The sequence below is a fragment of the Homo sapiens genome, chromosome 10 (genome assembly GCF_000001405.40).
Source record: "Homo sapiens chromosome 10, GRCh38.p14 Primary Assembly".
Classification (NCBI taxonomy): Eukaryota; Metazoa; Chordata; class Mammalia; order Primates; family Hominidae; genus Homo; species Homo sapiens.
In genome coordinates, this window is record NC_000010.11 from 70359431 (window position 1) to 70383407 (window position 23977).

At 50.5% G+C, this 23977-nt stretch overlaps 1 protein-coding gene across 17 annotated transcripts in view, besides 6 other annotated features; it reads right to left on the bottom strand.

Annotated features, from left to right (window-relative positions):
• The window catches only part of LRRC20 (leucine rich repeat containing 20), an 83651-nt gene extending 60456 nt beyond the window's left edge, over positions 1-23195 (bottom strand). For 3 of the 17 annotated variants that reach the window (NM_018239.4, NM_018205.4, NM_001278212.2), the window contains exons 1-2: positions 23119-23195; positions 17022-17166 (exon numbers count right to left, since the gene is read on the bottom strand). In NM_018239.4, the coding sequence (NP_060709.2) occupies positions 17022-17103 (82 nt within the window). In that variant the 5' untranslated portion in view covers positions 17104-17166; positions 23119-23195. Of the gene's footprint in view, positions 1-7615; positions 7636-17021; positions 17167-17298; positions 17363-22054; positions 22137-23063 lie in introns of those variants that run through there. The other 14 variants (XM_047425418.1, XM_047425421.1, NM_001278211.2 and 11 more) reach the window with 6 other exon arrangements.
• Positions 9470-9971: an enhancer, noted in NCBI's record as "NANOG hESC enhancer chr10:72128656-72129157 (GRCh37/hg19 assembly coordinates)". NCBI's record gives its function as "activates a minimal SCP1, AML or CMV promoter by ChIP-STARR-seq in naive H9 embryonic stem cells {active_cell/tissue: H9 hESC(naive)}" and the evidence as "EXISTENCE:reporter gene assay evidence [ECO:0000049][PMID:30033119]".
• Positions 22406-23025: an enhancer, noted in NCBI's record as "H3K27ac-H3K4me1 hESC enhancer chr10:72141592-72142211 (GRCh37/hg19 assembly coordinates)". NCBI's record gives its function as "activates a minimal SCP1, AML or CMV promoter by ChIP-STARR-seq in primed H9 embryonic stem cells {active_cell/tissue: H9 hESC(primed)}" and the evidence as "EXISTENCE:reporter gene assay evidence [ECO:0000049][PMID:30033119]".
• Positions 22406-23069: a biological region, named in NCBI's record as "H3K27ac-H3K4me1 hESC enhancer GRCh37_chr10:72141592-72142211".
• Positions 22870-23069: an enhancer, noted in NCBI's record as "active region_3503". NCBI's record gives its function as "activates an Ori minimal core promoter by ATAC-STARR-seq in GM12878 lymphoblastoid cells {active_cell/tissue: GM12878}" and the evidence as "EXISTENCE:reporter gene assay evidence [ECO:0000049][PMID:35858748]".
• Positions 23100-23469: a silencer, noted in NCBI's record as "silent region_2445". NCBI's record gives its function as "represses an Ori minimal core promoter by ATAC-STARR-seq in GM12878 lymphoblastoid cells {active_cell/tissue: GM12878}" and the evidence as "EXISTENCE:reporter gene assay evidence [ECO:0000049][PMID:35858748]".
• Positions 23600-23699: an enhancer, noted in NCBI's record as "active region_3504". NCBI's record gives its function as "activates an Ori minimal core promoter by ATAC-STARR-seq in GM12878 lymphoblastoid cells {active_cell/tissue: GM12878}" and the evidence as "EXISTENCE:reporter gene assay evidence [ECO:0000049][PMID:35858748]".

The window sequence follows — 23977 nt, forward strand, 5'->3', positions numbered from 1 at the left end:
GTGGGCCCAGCTACTTGGGAGTCTCACTTGAGCCCAGGAGTTTGAGGCTGCAGTGAGCCAAGATCATGCCACCACACCTCAGCCTGGGTAACAGAGTGAGACCTTGTCTCAAAATTATACTCTCCATGCTAGTTTGGAGGTGCTGACCCCACTGTCCAAAGCCTAGCATCCACACAGAAGGATCCAGCTCCCACCTCCCTTTCTAGATATCCCTCTTGCACCTCTTCATCAAAGCTCTTGCCCTCTGGCCAAGCCAGGCTGCTTATTATTCCCTGCAACTCCCTTTATTTTTCCACCTCTACATTTTTGCTGGTACTGTTCCCATTAAGTAGAATGTTCTCCCTTAGCTTCAAAAGTTCTCGTCAACACTGTATTTCAAGGACTTGTTTAAATGCCTCCTCTCCACTAAGCCTCTGTTCATGTCCTCAACTAATGTAATTGCTCCTGCCCTTGAACCCCCGTTGTTCCACTGCATTTTTTTTCTTTTTCTTTTTTTTTTTTTTTGAGGTGGAGTCTCCCTCTGTTGCCCAGGCTGGAGTGCAGTGGCGTGATCTCGGCTCACTGCAACCTCTGCCTCCCAGGTTCAAACAATTCCCTGCCTCAGCCTCCCGAGTAGCTGGGATTACAGGTGCCCACCACCACACCCGGCTAATTTTTGTATTTTTAGTAGAGACGGGGTTTCACCATCTTGGCCAGGCTGGTCTTGAACTCCTGACCTCATGATCCACCCGCCTCAGCCTCCCAAAGTGCTGGGATTACAGGCGTAAGCCACTGCGCCCATCCGCATTTCTTTTATTTTTGTTTTTACTAGAGATGGGGTATTGCTATCTTGCCCATGCTGGTCTCAAATACCTGGCCTCAAGTGATCCCAGTCTGCCTCCCAAAGCATTGGGATTACAGGTGTGAGTCACCACACCTGGTTCCTCATTGCTTTCCTCCTCCTCCTCCTCCTCCCCATCTCCCTCCTCCTCCTCCCCCTCCTCCTCTTCTTCCTCCTTCTCTTGCTCTTCATTTCTTTTCTTTTGAGACAGGGTCTCACTCTATAGCCAAGGCTGGAGTGCAGTGGCATGATCATAGCTTACTGCAACCTAGACCTCTCAGGCTCAAGTGATCCTCCTGCTTCAGTTTCCTGAGTAGCTGGGACTACAGGCTCACGCCACCCTGCCCGGTTAATTTTTCTTTTAGTTTTTTTGTAGAGACAGTGGTCTCACTATATGGCCTAGGCTGGTCTTGAACTCCGGGGTTCAAGTGATCCTCCCGCCCTGGCCTCTCAAAGTGCGAGGATTACAGGTGTGAGCCACCACACTGGGCCCACTGCATTTCTGCCAGCTCTGTCAGGGTCCCTATCCCGTTGTGTCTCACATGAAAGTTGTCAACGTGTTTGTCTCACTCTTCCTAGCAGGGCAGAGAGCTCCCAGAGGGCAGAAATTAGGTCCCACTGAAATGGGTGGCATGTTAAAGAGGGTATGGGAACTGTCATAATGGCACACGCCTATAGTCGCAGCTACTCTCAGGAAGCTGAGGTGGGAGGACCACTTGAGCCTAGACGGTTGAGGCTGCAGTGAGCTATGATCATGCCACTGCACCCGACTGGAAGACAGAGTGAGACCCCATCTCTAAAAAAAAAAAAAAAAGAGAGAGAGAGAGAAAGAGAGAATGAAGGCACAGGAGGCCAACAGATTCAAGTTCAAATCTCAGCACAAGATTTTAAGATTTGCTGGCTGTGAGCGTCCACACAAACCACTGCAGCTCATGAGGCCTCAGTTTCTCCTTTGATAAGTGACATGAAATATCACCTCTCCAGAGCTGGGAAAATCAGATGCACTCACTCATCAGACAAATATTTCCTGAGTATCCACTATATGCCAGCACTGTCCGAGGATATGATGGTGAGCAAGAGAGAGTGAGTCTCTGCCCTCAGGGAGCTTACGCCCTAGTGTGGCGAGAAGGCAGTATATGAGGGAATGGCAAGCAGTGATAACTGCCCTCAAGAAAACAAAACGGTATAATGGGAGAGCAGGTAACTGAGGCAGGGGCAGGGGCAACCCTCACTAGGGTGATCAGGAAGGGCTTCTAGGAGGAAGTGACATTTAGCTGAGACAAGAATAAAAAGGATAAGATCTGAGAGGTACAGTGTTAAGAGAAGCAAACAAATAAAAAAGAATAAAAAAAGAGCAGGGCATACAAAGATTTGGGGAAAGGACGATCAAGGTGGAAATCACAGCAAGTGCACAACTTGAAGGCACACCTGCCGGGGCCCAGTCATTGGCTCCCTCCCCCACCCTCACCCTCCCATCCCATCCTCTGCAGAACGGTACACAGACACAGGACACAGTAAATACACATCTGCCGGAGTGAATGTGACAAAACCAGGAATCTCGAGGATGAACTGGAGCACGACAAAAATAAGCACCTTAGCCAAAAACAGTCAACTGAGATTGAGGCAGATGCCAGTTAAAAAGATCTTAAATTCAGGCCGGGCATGGTGGCTCACACCTGTAATCCCAACACTTTGGGAGGCCAAGGCAGGTGGATCACATGAGACCAGGAGTTCGAGACCAGCCTGGCCAACATGGTGAAACCCCGTCTCTACTAAAAATACAAAAATTTAGCCAATAGTGATACACGCCTGTAATCCCAGCTACTCAGGAGACTGAAGCACGAGAATCACTTGAACCCAGGAGGCGGAGGTTGCAGTGAGCTGAGATCGTGCCACTGCACTCTAGCCTGGGTGACAGAGCCAAGACTCTGTCTCAGAAAAAAAGAAGCATTTAGGCTGGGCCTTAAAGTATAAGAAGGGCCCAGACACGTGAAGAACAGGGAAGAGCATCCCAGGCAAAGGGAACAGTATGTGCAAAGGCCTGTGGCTAGAAAGGCTTAATAGTTCAAAGGACTGATAGTCTGGGCTGTAAAGATGAGGGAAGCCCCAAGCTACTCAAAGTGCAGTCAGAGAATTTTGCAAGTGTCAGGTCATCCACAGCTTTGTGGTATGATCTTGGGTTTTACTCATTGTGTAGAAGAAGCCGATGAGGGTTTAATACAGACAGAACTGCTAAAGGTCAGCGCTGGAGTCCCACATTTGACAGATGAGAACTGGGCCCTGCAATGGGGAGTTAGAGTGAGGACCAGAACCCCAGCTTCCTCATTTCTGGACCACAGCCTCCTGTAAAACAGAACTCTCATCTTTTCACCTCACCCAGCTTCACTTGGCGTGAGCCCTGTCCTGACAGAGCTGACTCCACCCAGTGCCAGGCTTGGCCCCTTACAGACATGACCTCCCAGAGCAGCGTGCCTCAAGGGGGGCAGTTTTGCCCCCAGGGGACATTTGGAAATGTCTGGAGACAAATTTGGCTGTTACAACTGGGGGTGGAGTGAGGGCAGGGGGTGCTACTAGTGTTATCAACTGAATGTATGTGTCACCCCAAAATTCATAGGTTAAAATCTAATCTCTAATGTGATGGCATTTGAGGTGGGGCCTTTGGGAGGTGATTAGGTCGTGAGGGTGGAGCCCCCATGGACAGGATTAGTGTCCTTATGAAAGAGACCCCCAGGCCAGTGCAGTGGTTCAAACCTGTAACACCTATAATCTCAAGATTTCGGGAGGCTGAGATGGGAGGATCACTTGAGCCCAGGAGTTCGAGACTAGTCTGGGCAAGATGGTGAGACTTATCTCTATTAAAAAAAAAAAAAATTTTAAATTAGCCAGGCATGGTGATGTGTGCCTGTAGTCCCAGCTACTCGAGAGGCTGAGTCAGGAGGATCATTTTAGCCTAAGAGTTTGAGCCACTGCACTCCAGCCTGGGCAAAGGGAGGGAAGGGTGGAGGGGAGGGAAGGGGAGGGGAGGGGAGAAGAAACCCCAGAACATTCTCTCAAGGAAGGAAGGAAGGAAAAAGAGAGAGGAAGGGAGGAAGGAAGAAACCCCAGAAAAGTCTCTCCCTGGCCCCCCACCCACGGAGGACATGGTGAGAAACATCTGTTAATGAACCAGGAAGCAGACCTGCACCAAACACTGAGCCTGCCAGTGCCTTGATCTTGGACTTCCCAGCCTCCAGAATTGTGAGAAATAAATCTCTGCTGTTCATATTTTGCTATGGAAGCCTGAATGAACTAAGGCATCTTGCCTCAAGTGGGTAGAGGCTAGGATGTTGCTAAACATCTTACCAAGCACAGGACAGCTCCCCAGAACAAAGAATTATCCAGCTCAAAAACCAAAGGTGTCAAGACAGAGAAGTGCCCACCCAGGGATACAAAGCCTTCCTTTCAAATAGGTGCAGAGCCCTCAAGGGAAGAAAGCCCTCCCCAGGGGGCACAGGAGAAGAGGGAGAAGGGTCTTTCTTAGCCTCCCAGGAGCCCCAATCCAGACAGAGCAAGTCTAGAGGTGGCATGCTAGGCAGAAGGCTCCAAGTCAACCCCCAACACAGCACACCACAGAGGAGGCAGAGTTGGGAAAGGTCTGTCTCCTTACAGAGGAGCTCAGTCCCCCTGGGAGAGCAGCACAGACCCTGCAGTGGGGACCTCCAGCCCCCTCTCCTCCCTGGTAAACTCCCACCTGCTTCCTGCGAGAGGCAGAGAGCCAAGGATGGCAGATCTGAGGCCTCAGCCCTTGTGGCAAACAAAGCCAGGCAGCCCCAGCCATCTGGGAGCTGCTGTGTGAGAACGCAGTCCCTCCCCCATGCTCTCAGAGCTGGACTGTGCCAGGCTGACCCTCAGGACTCGCCAGGCCAGGAAACATCACAGCAAAACACACTCCCCTCACCCCTACCAGATGCCGGCCTCAGCTCTGGGCCAGGAACTACAGGCCAACAAGCCCTGGTGAGGGCCAAGATCACCACCCCACCAGGCCAGAAAAGCAGCTCCCACTCCAGTCCCTGGCAGCCCCCTTTCAGTGTAAGAGTGTGCTAGAGCGATGTCTGCCTCCCCTCCAGACTGGGCACTCCCGGGCACATGCATTGCCCTCCAGGCAGGGCACACACAGCAGCTGCTCAAAGTGTGTTTTTTGAAAGAGGAGCCAGTGGCAATTTCTGAACGAAGAAAATGTTGTGATTCAGTGGGTATCTATTAAGTGTTTCCTGAGTACTCTTGTTCAGAAAAGGGGTTGCAACATCAGGTCCCTGCAGGGGTTGGACAGGAACATAAACACAAGAAGGGAGTGGAAGCCTTGGTCAGAACACCCAGCAACAGCTCACCCAGCAACAGCCTGGCCAGGTCCCTGGGCTCGGCTTCCGGTCCTTGGCTTGGCCTGTGACAGGGCGCCATCTGCTGGCTAGTACAGAAAGAAGCAAGCGCTCAGCCAAAGCGCAGGTGGGCCCGGGAGGGACGAAAGGTGGACACACCCCTCGCGCTAGCCTTGGTCTCCCTGTTTGATTCCACAGCTCCCAGCCTAGCTGCTCAGGTCCCTCCCCAGGAGCACATCACATCCATGTCCGTATTTATTCATCATCTCCCACATGCACATCCAGAACCCTGCCAGGCAATGCCCCTGCCCCACCCCGCAGCAGCCATCAGGACAGGAAGCTCCAAATTGCAAACAGTAAGCCAGTGATTCTCAAAATTCAAGGCAAAGAAGAATCAGACACAGTTCATGTTAAAATTCAGATCACCAGGTCCTCTCTGAGATTCAACTTTTTTTTTTTTTTTTTTTTTTTTGAGATGAAGTCTTGCTCTGCCGCCCAGGCTGGAGTGCAGTGGCACCATCTCAGCTCACTGCAACCTCCGCCTCCCAGGTTCAAGAGATTCTCCTGCCTCCGCCTCCCGAGTAGCTGGGATTACAGGCGTGTGCCACCAAGCCCAGCTAATTTTTGTATTTTTAGCAGAGACGGGGTTTCACCATGTTGGTCAGGCTGGTCTCGGACTCCTGACCTCGTGATCCACCCACCTCGGCCTCCCAAAGTTCTGGGATTACAGGCGCGAGCCACCGCGCCCGGCGAGATTCAACTTTTAAAGCTCTAGAATAGGGTCCGTGGATCTGCATGCTTAACCAATAACCAAATGATCCTGATAGGAGAAAATCTTCTTGACCTTGGGTTAGGCAAAGACTTCTCACATACAATACCAAAAGTATCATGTATAAAAGATAAAACGATAAATTAAATTTCATCAAAATTAAAAATGTGAGCCAGGCAGGTGGCATGCACTTGTAGTTCCAGCTACTCTGGAAGCTGAAATAGGAGGATCTCTTGAGCCCAGGAGTTCCAGGCTACAGTGTGCAATGATTGTGCCTGTGAACAGCACTGCACTCCAGCCTGGGCAACATACCAAGACCCCACCTCGAAAAAACAAAACTAAAAAGAAAGAAAACCCAATGTTTTTTAATGGGCAAAAGATTCGAATAGAGATTTAATCAAAAACGAATGGATAGGCCGGGTGTGGTGGCTCACGCCTGTAATCCCAGCATTTTGGGAGGCCGAGGCGGGCGGATCACGAGGTCAGGAGATCGAGACCATCCTGGCTAACACGGTGAAACCCCTCTCTACTAAAAATACAAAAAATTAGCTGGGCGAGGTGGCAGGCGCGTGTAGTCCCAGCTACTCAGGAGGCTGAGGCAGGAGAATGGCGTGAACACCGGGAGGTAGAGCCTGCAGTGAGCCGAGATTGTGCCACTGCACTCCAGCCTGGGTGACAGAGCAAGACTCCAGCTCAAAAAAAAAAAAAAAAACAACAACAAAAAACGAATGGATAGCCAACAAGCACATGAAAAGTTGTACAACGTCGGCCAGGAACGTGGCTCATGCCTGTAGTCCCAGCACTTTGGGAGGCTGAGGCAGGCAGATCACCTGAGGTCAGGAGTTCAAGACCAGCCTGGCCAACATAGTGAAACCCCGTCTCTACTAAAAATATAAAAATTAACCAGGCATGGTGGCAGGCGCCTGTAATCCCAGCTGCTCGGGAGGCTGAGGCAGGAGAATCACTTGAACCTGGGAGGCGGAGGTTTCAGTGAGCTGAGATTGTGCCACTGTACTCCAGCCTGGGTGACAAGAAGTGAAACTCTGTCTCAAAAAAAAAATAAAATAAAATAAAAATAAAAGATGTTCAATATCACTCATCATCAGAGAACTGTAAATTAAAACTACAATGATACACCTCTTAATACTATAAAAAAAGAAAAAATAAATCAAACTACAATGAGATACATTACACCCTAGAGAATGTATACAAGTAAAAAACATACCGAGTGTTGAAAAGGATGTGAAGCAATTGGAGCTCTCAATCTCTTTGGAAAAGAGTGTGGTAGTTTTTTATAGTCAAACATATACTTAATATATAGAGTTGGCTCTCTATACCTGTGGGTTTTGTACCCACAAATTCAACCAAACACAGAAAATATTTGAAAATAAATAAATAATACAAATTTTAAAAAGCAATACAACTATTTACATAGCATTTACATTGTATTATGTACTATAAGTAATCTAGAAATGATTTAAAGTATACAAAAGGATGTGTGTAGGTTAGATGCAAATACTATAGCACTTTATACAAAGGACTTGAGTATCCTTGAATATTGGTATCTGTGGGGCTCCCGGAACCAATCCCCTCAGATATGGAGGGACAACTGTACAACCCAGCAATCCTACTCCTATGTATTTATCTGAGAGAAATGAAAACTTTACTGACCAGATGCCGTGGTTTGTGCCCATAACCCCAGCACTTTGGGAGGCTGAGGCAGGAGGAATGCTTGAGCCCAGGAGTTTGAGACCAGCCTCGCCAACACAGGGAGACCCCATCTCTACAAAAAATACAAAAATTAGCCAGGTACAGTGGTGCACACATGTAGTCCTAGCTAGTCAGGAGGCTGAGGTGGGAGGACGCTTGAGCCCAGGGGGCGGAGGCTGCAGTGAGCCAAGATCATACCACTGCACTGCACTCTAGCCTGGGCAAAAGAGTGAGACCCGGTCTCAAAAAAAAAAAAAAAGAAAGAAAAGAAAAAGAAAAAGAAAAAGAAAACTTTGCTTCACAGCAAAACCTGTATGCAAATGTTTACAGGCTTTGTTCGTGATGTTAAAAAATGAAACAGTCCAAATGTCCTTCAGCAGATGAAAGGATAAACGGATCATGGAACACCCACACCATGTAAAGCTGTTCAGCAGTGAAAGGAACAAACTACTGATTCCCACCAAACATGGATGAATCGCAAACACGTGATGCTAAAGTGAAAGAAGCCAGGCTCAAGAGCTTATTTACTCTATCATTCCATTTCCATGATATCCTAGAAAAGGCAAAACCACAGCGATGGAAAAGAGATCAGTGACTCCCAGGTACCAGGGATGGGGAGGGTTTGGCTGCAGGGGAGCATGAGGTGATAAAAAGGTTCTGAGTCTTGTTGTGGTTGGTTATAAAAACATATGTTTGTCAGAACTCAACTATATACTAAAAAGGGTAAATTTTATATATATAAATTATAACAATAAAATACATAAGATCAAGGCATGGCAGAATCATCTGGGAGGCCTGCTAAAATCCACACTACCAGCCCCCGCCCTCACAGATTCTATTTTCACAGCTCTGGAGTATTGCCCATAAATCTGCCTATGTTATGTTATGTTATGTTATGTTATGTTATGTTATTTTTTGAGATGGAGTCTCGCTCTGTCACCCAGGCTGGAGTGCAGTAGCACAATCTTGGCTCACTGCAACCTCCACCTCCCAGGTTGAAGAGATTCTCCAGCTTCAGCCTCTCAAGTAGCTGAGACTACAGGCATGCATCACCATGCCTGGCTAATTTTTGCTTTTTTTTTTTTTTTTTTGAAACGGAGTCTCACTCTGTCGCCCAGGCTGAAGTGCAGTGGCACAATCTCAGCTTACTGCAAGATGCGCCTCCCGGGTTCAAATGATTCTCCTGCCTCAGCCTCCCAAGTAGCTGGGACTACAGGCGCCCACCACCACGCCCGGCTAATTTTTTGTATTTTTAGTACAGATGGGGTTTCACTGTGTTAGCCAGGATGGTCTTGATCTCCTGACCTCGTGATCCGCCTGCCTCGGCCTCCTAAAGTGCTGGGATTACAGGGGTGAGCCACCGCGCCCGGCCATTTTTGCATTTTTAGTAGAGACAGTTTTCACCATGTTGGCCAGGCTGGTGTTGAACTCCTGACCTCAAGTGATCTACCCACCACAAGGATTACAGGCATCAGCCACCGCGCCCAGCCTGAATCTGCATTTTTTTTCTGAAATGAACTGAGGTTTTATTTTTATTTATTTTTGGCGGCAGGGGGGACTGAGTCTTGCTCTGTCACCTAGGCTGGAGTGCAGTGGCATGATCTCAGCTCACTGTGCAACCTCCGCCTCCCAGATTCAAGCAATTCTCCTGCCTCAGCCTCCTGAGTAGCTGGGACTACAGGTGCATGCCACCACGCCTAGCTAAGTTTTTGTATTTTAGTAGAGATGGGGTTTCACCGTGTTGCCCAGGCTGGTCTCGAACTCCTGGCCTCAGGCAATCTGCCCGCCTCAGCGTCCCAAAGTTCTAGGATTACAGGTGTGAGCTACCGTGCCCGGCCTGAATCTGCATTTTTAACCAGTACTCCTACAATCCTGATGTTGGTTACCCAGGACCTACCCTTCAGAAAATCCTGCAGGAGTGAAGGAACTGACAGAGGGACATTTGCCCATGAAAGCAGTCCATGGGGGCTGTCCCCATTGTTTCTTTAACTCAAGACAGCCTAACAATGATGTAAATCTTAAATACAAAGGTAGATGTTCACCTCTGCTTTTTTTCCTCCTTTTCAAGGAACAGGGTGGGCTCACTGTGGTTCCAAGAAGACCTGGGAGGAGAGGCAGGTGTGTGGGTGGGAGAAGGCGGGAAGAGGGAGGTTCACATCATTGGCCTCGCTTAGTTCTCTCAGCCCTCCTCCTCATCCCCACCCCCATCCCTCGGGGCAGGCAGCAGGGTGGATGGGGAAAAGCAGGGCTGTGCCCTAGGCTGACCTATGAACTCTGCTCCCACTCCAAACAGCTGTGTCACCAGCAGGTCACCTACACTCAGCCTAGCTCCAGCAGCTATAAAACAGAGGAAAACTACTGCAAAAGCAAAGCAGGAGAGGAGGGAAGTTGAATACCCTTGTACAACAAAACACTTAAAAACATCAGATAAAATACTTGAACCTGGGAGGCAGAGATTGCCGTGAGCCGAGATGGTGTCACTGCACTCCAGCGCCTGGGTGACAGAGTAAGACGCTGTCTCAAAAAAAAAAAAAAAAAAAAAAAAAAAACCATACATACACACTGGATAAAAGATGTTTCTCACACCTTTCTTTCCTCATCTGTAAAATGGGAGTATTAACATCACCTTTGTCATAGGGTTGTCATGGGGAATTAAATGAGTTAAAACCAGCAAACTGTTTACCACGATGCCTGGCATTTAATAAGGGCAAGTCCAAAAGATCAAAAATAGAGAATCTGAATCCCAGCACTTTGGGAGACCGAAACAGGTGGATCACTTGAGGTCAGGAGTTCGAGACCAGCCTGGGCAACATGGCGAAACCCCATCTCTGCTAAATATACAAAAGTTAGCTGGGCATGGTGGCAGGTGCCCAGCTAATTTTTGGGGATAGCTGAGGCAGGAGAATCACTTGAACCTGAGAAGTGGAGGCTCTAATGAGCCAAATCTACTACTTGATAATAAAAAATAATAAAATAATAAAAATCTACTACCTGATAAGACAACAAGCAGTTTAGTCTTTGCCTGGGCACTGAATTGTTAAAAAACAAAAATCTCCACTAAGATTCTGAAATCACAGACCTGTTAATACTTAGGATTTGAATATTCACAGCCCTTAATTCATATACAGAAGCCCTCAGGGCTGAGACATTAACAGAAGACGTGCTTCTAGGCTGGTCACACTCAGGCACCTGACCAAAGCAATCACGACCCCTCCAGAGGACACAGCCCTGCGACCCAGGATTACACAGATGATAGTTCACCAGACAGGAGCACAGGGTCCAAATTATTATATTATATAAAGTCCACCCAGAATAACCTACTGTGAGCAAGAGTCAGCAGGAACAACAGACTGAAACCCTCAAGAATGTCCTGTTACAGAAAAAGCAGGCCAGGCATGGTGGCTCAAGCCTGTAATCCTAGCACTTCGGGAGGCTGAGGCTGGGAGTTCAAGACTAGCCTGGCTAACATGATGAAACCCTGTCTATACTAAAAGTACAAAAATTAAAAATTAACCAGGTGTGGCGGCACACACCTGTAACCCCAGCTACTTGGGAGGCTGAGGCAGGAGAATTGCTCGAACCCAGGAGGTGGAGGTTACAGTGAGCCGAGATCACACCACTGCACTCCAGCCTAGGCAACAGAGTGGGACTCCATTTCAAAAAAAAGAAAAAGCAGTAAAGATTTAAAACAAGTATAGGCTGAGACAAGAGGATAGCTTGAGGCCAGGAGTTTGAGAACAGCCTAGGCAACACAGTGAGACCCCATCTCTACAAAATATTTTAAAAATTAGTCGGTGTAGTAGCAAGTGCCTGTAGTCTCAACTACTTGGAAGGCTGAGGTGGGAGGATCACTTGAGCCCAGGAATTCAAGGCTGCAGGGAACTATGATTGCGCCACTGCACTCCAGCCTGGGTGACAGAGCAAGACCTTGTTTCTAAAATGATTAAAGAAATAAAAAATAGAGCATAAGAAAGAAATAAGATTATTCCCTTAAATCAGATTTTTTTTTTCAGTAAGAAGCAAAAGATTTATTGGATCTGAAGAGAAACTAGAGTATATTATATCAGATTTTTTAAATAGAACTTTTTCTCGCCCAGGCTGGAGTGCAGTGGCCCGATCATGGCTCACCGCAGCCTCAACCTCCAGGACTCATGCAATCCTCTCGCCTCAACCTCCCAAAGTAGCTGACACTACAGGTGTGTGCCACTGCACCTGGCTAATTTTTTAAATTTTATTTTTGGTAGAGACAGGGTCTCTACCAAAAATATAAGCAGTTAACATGTATTGAGTACCTGCTGTGTACTAGGTGCCTGGGGGCTCCCAGGGATGTGTGTAGTAGAGTCTCGGGCCTCAGGCCTTTTCAAATCCTGCTCCTCTGTGTCACGATTATTCTTTAAAAGCCAGTCCCCATGCACACTGCAGAGCCAGGAGCCTAAGACCCGGAGAGGAGCGGGGTGCAGGGAAGCCTGGCCCCACAACCACAGGCTGGAGGGAAGGGTGGGGTCAGACTAAGGCCCCTCAGCGGTCCAGGACCCACGGAAACCCAGATGGAAAAGGGGCAGGGAAAGAGAGCCTGGCTCAGGGGAAGCAGACTACCTAAGGGGCAGTTTGCAACTCTGCATGCTCCTTAGAAACATCGAGAAGATGATGCTGAGGAGGGGTGAGAGACTGGGAGGAAAGCAGCTTCAACTCAAGCTGAGGGCCTCCCAGGGGCCAAATGGAAAGGAGCCCACGTCTCTGGGGATGGAGAAGCCTGGAGTGGAGTGAGAAAGGCTGGGATCCTCGCCTCGAGTTACAGGAGGAAGCAGGCCTGGCTCCAGCTCTAGCCAGGGGTGCCCCAGGAGCACTGGGGGAGCATGTGAAGTGCTTACCAGGGTTACTTGGCTGAGTAAGGTGAGAGCAAGCCTGTAACTGAGCTCTTCCAGCCCAGTCTCTACAGGGGATCTCCCACTCTGCAGCAGCACCTGTGGCTCTGGAGCACCACCCCGGGAGGGAACCCAGCAGGACGGGAAAAGCCAGGGAAGCCTATGTCTCCTCCCAGGGGCCTCGGCTTTGAGAATGAGCTACCCCTGAACTCTCATCTGTTGTCAAGATGTGTGTTTTATTTCCACAGTGGCAGGTGGTCCTTTCCCTAAAATCTGTTCCCTAATTTTAAGAGTAATACGTTCATTATAGAACATTTAGAAAATGCAAAATAGTATTTTCTAACTCCCATTTCCATATTGGTTATTTCCTTCCATTTTCTTTCCTACATATATGCACAGGTTTAACATAATTCGTACCTTACCCTACATACAGTTTGGCATTCTTGATGTTTTCCAGTTCACGTTATATATGAGAATGTGCCAATCCTTCTTTTCGTTTTTTTTTTTTTTGAGATGGAGTCTCACTCTGTCACCCAGGCTGGAGTCCAGTGGCGCAATCTCAGCTCACTGCAGGCTCCACCTCCCAGGTTCACACCATTCTCCTGCCTCAGCCTCCCGAGTAGCTGGGACTACAGGTGCCCGCCACCACGCCCGGCTAATTTTTTTGTATTTTTAGTAGAGATGGGGTTTCACCATGTTAGCCAGGATGGTTTCGATCTCCTGACCTTGTGATCCGCCCGCCTCGGCCACCCAAAGTGCTGGGATTAAAGGTGTGAGCCACTGCGCCCGGCCGAGAATGTGCCAGTCTTTATTTAATCATACAATGAAATATTACGCTCCATTGTTGATGCTACATAAATAGCATTATATAGGCCGGGTGTGGTGGCTCATGCCTATAATCCCAGCACTTTAGGAGGCTGAGGCAGGTAGATCGCTTGAGGCCAGGTGTTCGAGACCAGCTTGGCCAACATGGCAAAACCCCATCTCTACTAAAAAAAAAAAAAAAATAGAAAAATAAGCCAGGCATGGTGGCACACACCTGTAATCCCAGCTACTTGGGAGGCTGAAGGAAAATCACTTGAACCCAGGAGAGGGAGGTTGCAGTGAGCCAAGATTGTGCCATGGCACTCCAGCCTGGGCAAGCAAGATGACTCCATCTCAAAAAAAAAAAGCATTGTATAGCTGTAACCAAATTTATTTAAGCAATTTTCTGGTGCTAGATGTTTAGGATGCTTCAGATTGTTAGCTATTTTACATGAGAACCATATAGAGTTACTTTATGATTCAATTCAATTACCACTCCTCCAGAAAGCCTTCCTGGTCTACTTCAATACCCAGCAATATCTCCCACCTCTGAATTAGGACAACCTGTGTTCCATCTGACACACCTTAGCATGGAGCCTGTGTGTCACTGTTCTCTGAAGACTGTCTTGTAGGTGGTGGGCTGGTCTCAGGTCCAGGACTCTACTACACACATTCCTGGGAGCCCCCAAGCAACTAGTATACAGCAGGTACTCAATACATGCTAACTGCTTAGACCCAGCCCCCTTAGAGTGTATAAGCCTGGTCAGCTCCATTTCCTAAGGGTCAGGATTACAGGTGCCTACTATGGCCAGGTTGGAAATTTTGCTTCTTCTCTGGCCAATGCACAGATGCAAAGGATCCCTGTTATTCAACCACAACTTTAAGACCCAGTCCCCTCCACATGAAAGTCTTGAGCTTCAGGCAAGATCGCCATGGCTAAAGGCTCTCCCAACTTGACTAGAGCTTCACAGCAGTCATGACCCTGGCAATCACCAAACATGTGCCCCCACCCCAGGGCTGCATGGTGGAGACAGGGCCCAGGCTCTGGTGTCAGAAATCAAGGTTCCAATCCCAGGCATGGCAGTGGTCTGGCAGGGTGGCCAGAGAACTGCTTGGGTTCCTTGGTGGGTATGGCTCCCAGGCAGTGCAGGGGAGCTGGTCGCAGCATGCCCTGCCCTAGCCGCCCTGCACACTTCACCTGATGCAGGGTGCCCACTCTTCAGCTCACAGAAATGCCCACCTGTCCACTGGCCCACTTGACCTTGCAATCTCCAGTCCACAGAGGTTGAAGTTCAGGGGCTCCTCAACACAGCCTTCCAGGCTCTCCGCCTGCCAGGCACCATCCCTCACCACCTGCCCCAGTGCTGCTGTGGTAACTGGGCAGGGCCTCTCCTCCAACTCAGGCACACCCCTGCCACTGCCTGGAGTGCCTGTCTCCTCACCGCTGCCTCCTGAAACATCCTCTCTCAAACAGCACCCATCCCCTAAGCAGCTTCCCCAACGCCCCGGTGAGAATTGTTTTCCCTCCCCTGCGGCCTCTCCACTCTTGCCACATCTGAATGAAGTGGAGCTGCTGTGTCCCTATCCCCTGTGAAGCCTTTTTTTTTTTTTTTTGAGATGGAACCTTGCTCCATCACCCAAGCTGGAGGTGCAGTGGCGAGATCTTGACTCACTGCAACCTCCATCTCCTGGGTTCAGGCGATTCTCCTGCCTCAGCCTCCCAAGTAGCTGGGATTACATGTGTATACCACCACACCAGCTAATTTTTTGAATTTTTAGTATGTTTTAGTATGTTGGCCAGGCTGGTCTTGAACTCCTGGCCCCAAGCGATCCACCTGCTTCGGCCTCCCAAAGTGCTGAGATTACAGGCATGAGCCACCATGCCCAGCCCCCTGTGACATTTTGAAGCAGGGGTAGGTTACTCACCACAGACATCTGTCGATTTGCACTGAACCCTCCATTGGAAGGCAGTGAGAAGAACACCCAGCACAGACGTGGCTGGCTGACACCTGTAGAAAGTGCATTTGCAAGGGGAAGGGCTTAGGTCTCGCCACCAGCTTTTGGGAATGAGCAAAAATTAAAAATAATAGCTGCCATTTATTGAGCTCCCTATGTGCCAAACACCTTACAGACATTCCAATTACTCTTAACTACCTTGATGAGGTAGACACAATTACCATTCCCATTTTATAGATGAAGAAACTGAGGCTCTGAGAGGTTAAGCAATCTGCTACAGTACCAGGTGAGTGGGTGGCAGAGTAGAGATTCAAATCCAGGCCCATGTGACTCAAAGCCTAGCTCTGAACCGCAGTCTCAGTGGTAGAGAGCCTTAAACAACCATATTACTGACCAGTACAGGATTCCGGAATTCCTTCACTGAGGGCTCACAGTCATCAGCTCACTAGCTTAAGGCTCCTTCCAAAGGCTTCCCTCCAACACCAATGACAATCTTCAGCGAGCCTGCTGATAGAGGAAATGCCTCTCGCCTTAGCTAAGCTCAGCAAACACTTCCACACGTTTACAAAGTGCCTGACACTGCGCTGGGCTCTGGGGCAGGGCAGGGGGAAGCAAACAACCACAGGGTCCCTGTGCTCTACAGATGCTGAAGGGGTGCTACAGAGGAGAAAGGGAGCAAAGGGTGGATGAGGGAAGGCGGAGGGCTTCCTGGAAGAGGCAGTGATCAAGCTCATCCTGAAGGCTGAGTGTCTCTCCACTTCCTGGACCACCTCTCTGCCTCTGACTGCCTTTCCAGTCTCTGTGACTTTGCTAAGGCAGTAACTACCATGGAAGGAAGCGCTCCTTTGTGAGACAGACAGACAGACACACACACACACACACCCCTACCTGCCTGTGAAATTCCTCTCCATGTACCTAACTCCAATTCTGCCTGCCTATCTGCAAGATCATCCCCAAGGCAGGACTGTGCTCCAGGCCTCTACAGTGGTGCCTGCATTCCATGGGTGACATACATGCACATGCACACATGCACACAAACACACTCGGGCACATGCACGCACACACAGGACACACAGGTAACTGCACTGTATCCCCTGCTGCCCCTTGCACTTGGTGGACAGTCAATAAGTATCTGCTGAATTCGATTAAATGGGATGGTTTGCCTAAATGCTTAGGAGTCTTGGGGTAATTGATGGAATAAAATGCCCTGGCCAATTCAAAGCAAAAAAATATATAAGACACAATTCAAGAAAAATAGTGGAGTGTAAAGGGGTCTCCTAGCTGGGCAACCTCAAAGAAACCCATTTTGCCGTCCCCTTTCTTCATGGGATGACTGAGGCTAACCACGCCCAGCTGGCTTCATTCACCCCAGGGAGCCTGTGAAGATTCAACAAGATAACATTCAGGAGGCGCCCAGCACGGGGCCTGGCACACAGATGCTACTTGGCCAGGACCAGCTCTGTATTTTCACCTGGTCCAAGGGCACACACACTCAGTCATCAGCAGTCAAAGGACAAGCAGGCAGGCGCCATCACTCAGTGGTTTTCAAACCTCTTTGACCAGGACCCACAGTAAGAAATGTCTTACACAAATTACACACTGTTGCAATGAAAGTTCCACAAAACACTTATTCTCAGGATGAGGTTGCACACTGACGCTTGTGTCTTTCATCTCTGTTTCATTTCTAAGCTGATCTCACAACTGCTTCCAGGGAAGTTGGGAAAAGCCCTGCCCTCACTCACCCAGAGTGTCAGAGCCGCTCTCCACCGTCTCGTTGACCTTCCTTGCTACTCTGGCCACGGCCTCACCCATCTTCTTCAGCATGCAGACACAGGTGTCCTGCCGCCAGCCCCCAGGCTGGTCTGCTTCTCACAAAAGGGCCTGAGCCTGGGGAAGACGCAGTGCCATGAAGTGCCCGCCTGCCAGCCAGGGGCCCACCCAGGCATCCCCCTCCAGCATCCTTCTCCCCCAGGACCCAGGCTGTCAGGAAGCCTGCAGGGAGGGCCCCAGGCCACTCACCTCCTCTTGCAGGGCCGAGAGCTCAGGCCACATCCAGCTTGGCCTTTGCACAAGCTGGTCTGCCAGTCTGGCAGCTGGGTTCTACTGGTTTTCTGGGAGGATCAACATGTGTGACCTCACCAGACATGGGGACCAGGTCTGAGCCAGCAGCCAGGGAGGTGTGAGGACTCAGGGGTGTGCTGGCCTGTGATTCACTCTATAGGCAGGGCATTGGGAAGGAGGTAGGGCGCAGCCAACTGCAGGAGAAAGACACCTGTCCCTCCATCCCACAGCCTCTAAGCTGGTCCCCTGTCCACACCCTGCCCAGGACAATTTCCCCAGCTCCCCTGTTCACCCCACCCATATCTGCCTTGTGCATGGCAGGAAGTGGGGACACGAAGGCAAATCAGAGCCCTGTGATCCCATCAGAACACACGGACTGGCGGTGGGTGGTCTCTAAGAATTCCTTTCCCATGTGCCAACAGGAAGGAGAGGTTACAGTACTAGCCTGCAGACCTGATTATCAGCCTGATGCTGAGTTTATCTGCAAGAAAAGCGGGCAGGGGCCGGGGGGTGGAGATGGAAATGAGAGAAGAGAAATTGGATCACTAGAGGAAAAGAGACTGAAAGAAAGGTGAGGAAAACAAAATGATAAGGTGTTAAGACATAAGGACTTGCAAACACCCTCAACTCCCTGTTTATTACAGAGAAGGAAATGAGCACAGAGAGGGGCTAGGTGACCTGGCCAAGGTCAAAGTGAGTAAGCGGCAAGAATAGGGTCAGCCCAGCTCCATAGCCAGTGCTCACTTTTTTATAAAAATAGCAGCACCCCATAGAGAGAGGAATGAGCTCAAGTCCAAGGTCAGCACCCCTTCTTTGCCCCCAGACCCCAGTCCCAGCTTCACAGACAGCTCAAGAAGCTCCAGTGAACTCACTCCAAGGGCCAAAGGCAGAAGAAGGCGAAGGGCAGAGAGAAGGGGCATGGGGACAGTGCTAAGAGCTAACAGTCACCAAGAAAAAGTTCCCACGTGGTCAACTGGACAAGCAGGGCAGGCAAGGCCAAGCCAGGGCTGGCCAAGCCCACCCATCTGCTTCAGGGAGTTACTGTGAGTTTAGTATGTGTGTGCATTTCCACTAAAGAGGCTGACACTAAAGGTTTGAGACACACACATACAGAACAGTGGGAAAACACTGATTTTGGAGACAGGTCAAATGCTCAACACCCCCATTTATTGGCTGAGAGGCCTTGGGAGAGTTTCTTAACTCCTCTGAGCCTGTTTCTTCTTCATGTGAATAGGAGATCTAGTAATACCCAACTTGCTAGGTTAATATGAGGATTGAGAGCACAAAATGTATACACCTGTCTAGCTCAGAGCCCAGGACACGTAAATACTCAATAAAAGTTAAGAGGATAAAGCAGTGCATATGTGGATGTAACAGCAGCATATAACCCCAGTTTAATACTCATGTGAGTCTGAACAAAACACTGAGGGAACTCATCTTTGAGGAATGAGTGGAATTTCTATCTGTCCACCTCCAGGAAATCTCCTCTTATTGCCTCAGTGTTCTCTCCTTCCTCTGAGTTTCAGTAGCACTTAATGACTTAGCACAAGTCACCTGGATTATTTATGAGCTTTTAAATATACACTTGTCAGCCGGGCGCAGTGACTCATGCCTGTAATCCCAGCACTTTAGGAGGCCTAGGCGGGTGGATCACTTGAGGTCGGGAGTTGGAAACCAGCCTGACCAACATGGTAAAACTCCGTCTCTACTAAAAATACAAAAAAAAAAAAAAATGGTCGGGCATGGTGGCTCACACCTGTAATCCCAGCACTTTGGAAGGCCGAGGTGGGCAGATCACCTAAGGTCAGGAATGCAAGACCAGCCTGGCCAACGTGGTAAAACTCCATCTCTACTAAAAATACAAAAATTAGCTGGGCGTGGTGGCGGGCGCCTCGGGAAGCTGAGGCAGGAGAATCACTTGAACCCAGGAGGCAGAGGTTGCAGTGAGCCGAGATTGTGTCATTGCACTCCAGCCTGGGCAACAAAGAGTGAACCTCGCGCTCAAAAAAAAAAAAAAAAAAAAAAATTAGCCAGGCATGGTCGCACATGCCTGTAATCCCAGCTACTCAGGAGGCTGAGGCAGGAGAATCGCTTGAACCCAGGAGGCGGAGGTTGCAGTGAGCCGAGATCGTCCCATTGCACTCCAGCCTGGGTGACAAGAGCAAAGCTCTGTCTCAAAAATAAATAAATCAACAAACCAACACTTGTCTCCCCCATTGACCTGTGGGCAGCTTGGGGCCAGGGAATAGACCTATACTGTGCTTCTCTCCACACACTGAACACAGGTGCTTAGTTAGTATCCCCTAATGGTGAAGATCAACAGACATCATTTGTGTTTCCAATCTGAATACAGGTCAAGAGACTCTTACAACAAATCTAAGACACTGTCTAAATTGAGAAGGGTCAAAAACCAAATGCCTAATAGTGCCAGGTGGCCAATCTGCATAAGGCGAGCCAGTGCAGGGCAGAAGGGAATAGAAAGGACTGTGGCAAACTGGACCCAACAACTTCACCATGCTGCCTCGAAGACCGTACCCCTAAGCCTAAATCATAGCCATGTTGCTAGCATCTTGGTGACTTGTTCTAACCACTTTATGAATGGGAAAGCTGAGGACCCAAGAGGGGAGGCAAATCAGCTAGATGAAAACAAAAAACCCAGGTATCCTAAGTCCAAGCCTAGGACTCTTCCCACCATTCCATGCTCCCTCCTTTCTCCATCTCCAATTCATCATCAATAATCATAAACATTTACTGAGCATCTCCTAGGTATGAGGGATAAGAAGGAAGAGGGAGAAAGAAATGCAGGAAGCAGCTCCGACTTGCGATTCTGATGAGGAAGAGCTTTCTGAAGAACAGCACTGAAGCAATCCTGGCCTCACAGCAGAGAGGGAAAGGAAGGGAAGCCACCAAGCTGCCCAGGGTAGGGGGTAGGCCTGGTGGGATCACCTGGGCTGAATATTTTCAATCAGGCACTATGCCTGCAATTCTACTAGCTACCACCAGATGGGGAGGTGGTGCCTTAGACCAGCGGTCCCCATCCTTTTCGGTTTCCTGGAAGACAATTTTTCCCACTGTAGTGGGAGAGGAATGAAACTATTCCACCTCACATCATCAGGCATTAGATTCTCCATAAGGAGCACACAACCTAGATCCATCGCATTCGCAGTTCGCAATAGGGTTCAGGCTCCTAGGAGAATCTAATGCGGCCGCTGGTCTGACAGGACGCAGAGTTCAGGCGGTAATGCTTACTGGTGCTCACCTCCTGCTGTGCAGCCGGGTTCCTCACAAGCCACGGACCTATGCCATCCACAGCCCAGGGGTTGAGGACCCTTGCCTTAGACCACTGATGAAAACTAGTCAGATTAAAAATTTCACCACTGGTGGCAAGTTCAGACGTCCTATTGTGTGGGTCAGAGTGTACACAGGTACAGGAACAGAAACAACATGTAAAGTCTAGGTGTCAGGGCAATTCAGTAGGAAGAAGGGCCCCTTCCTTCTATGCCAGAGGATGGAGGATGCTCTGAGTACAGCAAAAATGTGCTCGGGACCCCCAAAAGGTTCCCGCTGCTTAAAATCACCACGCTTATTAACTAGCTAGGAAGCCATCCTCCCTTCACCTAAAACTGCCCCTTTCTCCACAAGGAAGAATTGTTTCATGAAGTCCAGCTGACAGGCCTGAGCTCCTCAGGGTACCTGGTCAATGCCATCTGCAGGGATGGTGGTAGTGGAGAGTCACAGAGTGTTCCAAAAGGCAGAAACAGACACCATCAGCCCACATGGGCCAGATCGCCGCTTGGGGCACCCCAGCCAGCTGGCACTACTGGCCCCAGCCAGTCCCAGGCAATAGAGGGTAGGCCTTAGAAAATGTCAGGGAAAGCACTCCAAATCCCAGAGACACTTCAGCACAGGGTCGAAGCTCATACTCACACTGCCTACATCCTCAAAGCATGGCCCTCTCCACACACCCTCAACCCCATTCCTCAGAGTGAGCATCCTGGTCCGGTGAAATGTTTAAATCCAGCAAACGTCTCCTGGACACCTTCCATAAGGCCCCCACTGTGGGAGTAAAGGGGCAGAGACTGGGTATGGGCTAGAACAAGCTTCCCACTGGGAGGCAGGATGAGCCTGATAGTAGTAAGGCTACAGGGCCAGGCCTAGGGGGGCATGAAGGCACATGGCATGGCCAGGGGGAAGGGACAGGGGTGAGCAGCAGGTGCACAAAGAGATTCAGGAGAGAGAGAGACAGGGAGCCAATGGGCTCCCAGATTACTGAGGAAGGGAACTGCAGCCCTCTTACAAGGCTGTCCTCTGCTTCTGTGTAGCGAACTAAGAGAAGTTTTTTGAGGAAGGCAGCCTAATCCATAGTTTTGCAAAGTTAACAGTGTTGTGAGCAGTCCCATTTGTAAAATGGAAATACCACCTTCCTCACCGGATTATTGTGGGAAGTAACTGATATGTAACTTTTGGGAAAGGACTTTGCGAACCATTACATGTTTCCCACACCAAGGCATTACCAGTAGGTAATCAAACAGGTGTAGAGAGGAAGTTTGGATGTAATAAATTCAATGCCAGACAAAAACGTTGTCCTGCTTTGGGGGAGCTGGCAATACAGCCCTCCTGTCCCTATAACCTGGTTTCACCTGGACTCAGGCTGGCTGGGGGAGGGGTGATTTTTGCTTAAACCCTGACCTGGCCCCCTGACTCCAGCCCTTACCATCAATAACTCTACCTTATCTGCAGTCCGGAGACCTCTGCAAAGGAGCCGCTGCGACAGCCCGTCCCCACCATCTGCTCCTATATTTAGTTACTGGTGTTGTCAGTTGGGAACGTTAGAGCCTGGCAGGGGCTCGGATGGGCAACCGGAGCCTCCGGAGCCATGTGTGCAAGCTGGCCCTACCGCTGGCTCCAGCCCGGGCTCTGGACCATGCCAAGCCGGGGAGCGGGTGGGGAGGTGAGGAGCGACCCAAATAGTCCCAAACCCCCCTTCAGATCAGAACGAAGTTGACCCACTTCCCCACCCCAGGGAAAGAAGCCCGCTGGGACGTGAGCGGGACCTGCTGGCGCCTTGTTTTTGTGGCATGGGGTTCGGGAAGCTCAGCGCGTGCTCCCTCGCTAACATCTAGGCATCCTCGGACTGAGCCTCCAGCACTACGCGCGGTAGCCAGGCAAGGGTCCCCCAGCCCCGCGTGCCAGGATCCGCCTCACCCCCGGTGCCTGCAGCCAATGGCACCTCGTCCGCTGGCCCGGCAGGCGGGGACTGGGAGAATAAAGCTGGCAGAGGGAAGAATGGTAGTGATCGCAGAGGCCCCGGGGCTCCCACGCTGCCCGGAGGCCGAGAGGCACGCTCTGGAGCAGGCGTCTGCAGCTCCCCAGAGCGGAAGCAAACCCCGAAAGTGTCGCTTCGGGGACGAAATGCACAGCAGCCTCTCCAAGCAAGGGCGCCTCCCGCGAGGAATGGAGGCCCGCCTGGGAGCGGTTCTCCGAGCTCCCTATTCCCTGGCACCTCTGCACCCACTCCCCTGAACCATCGGGGTCCAGGTGCAGTGAGCAAGCAAGAGCCCGCGCATGCCGAGCCCCTTGGCACCGCCAGAGCCTCCGCTGGTGCACCGCTGCTCTTTTCCACCGGGTGACCTGGGGGAGGGGAGGGGACGCTGCAAAAATCGGAACACTTCTCGCCCTCTCTCCCCCAGCCCCTGCAACGCTTGACCTCGGACTACATTTACTTTGCGGGGCAAGAAGCGTGTGGTCCCGCTCCGGGCCGCTTTTGGCTCCACTTACGGCGACAATGCCTCCTAGCGCCCTGCGCAGCGCAGTCACGCTCCCTCCGCCGCCGGCGGCGCCCCAGGCGAGTTCCGAGCCGGCGGGGCGGGGCGCGCGGGGCTGCGGGATCTGCGCGCGCGGCCACTCCGCCAATCCCGGCGCCAGGACCGGCGCCGCGGCGGGAGCAGGCTGGGCTCGGGATGCGCTCAGCCAATCAGTGGGGGAGCGGCGCGCGCGGGGGTGGCGCGCGGAAGGGCAGCCCGCGCGCTCCCGGCCGCAGGGAGTAACCGCTTTGTGTGCTGCTTCTAGAGGGAGAACGCCTGAGGGGGCGGAGATACAGAGTGGGACGCGCAGTACATCCCAGGATCTCTAGGACCGGGGCTCCAGATTGGGTTTTCTCGAGGGAATGGAGTTGAATTAGCCAGATCAGGGATACTTTGAAACACGTGAACATGGAGCATAGGGAAATTTTCCTATGATGACTTCGGGTGCCCATTGAGGTTTTTAGTATATGCAAGGCCCTGTGTCTCGGCCCTGCGTCTCCAATCCTAATGTTCTCATCTATAAAATATGACTTGAGGGCGGGGCGCGGCGACTCACGCCTGTAATCCCAGCACTTTGGGAGGCCGAGGTAGACGGATCACCTGAGGTCGGGAGTTCGAGACCAGCCTGGCCAACATGGCAAAACCCCCGTCTCTACTAAAAATACAAAAATTAGCCGGGCGTGGTGGCAGGCGCCTGTAGCCGCAGCTACTCGGGATGCTGAGGCAGGAGAATCGCTTGAACCCGGGAGGCGGAGGTTGCAGTGAGCCGAGATGGGCACTCCAACCTGAGTGGACAGAGTGAGACTCTGTCTCAAAGAAAAAAAAAAGAATAT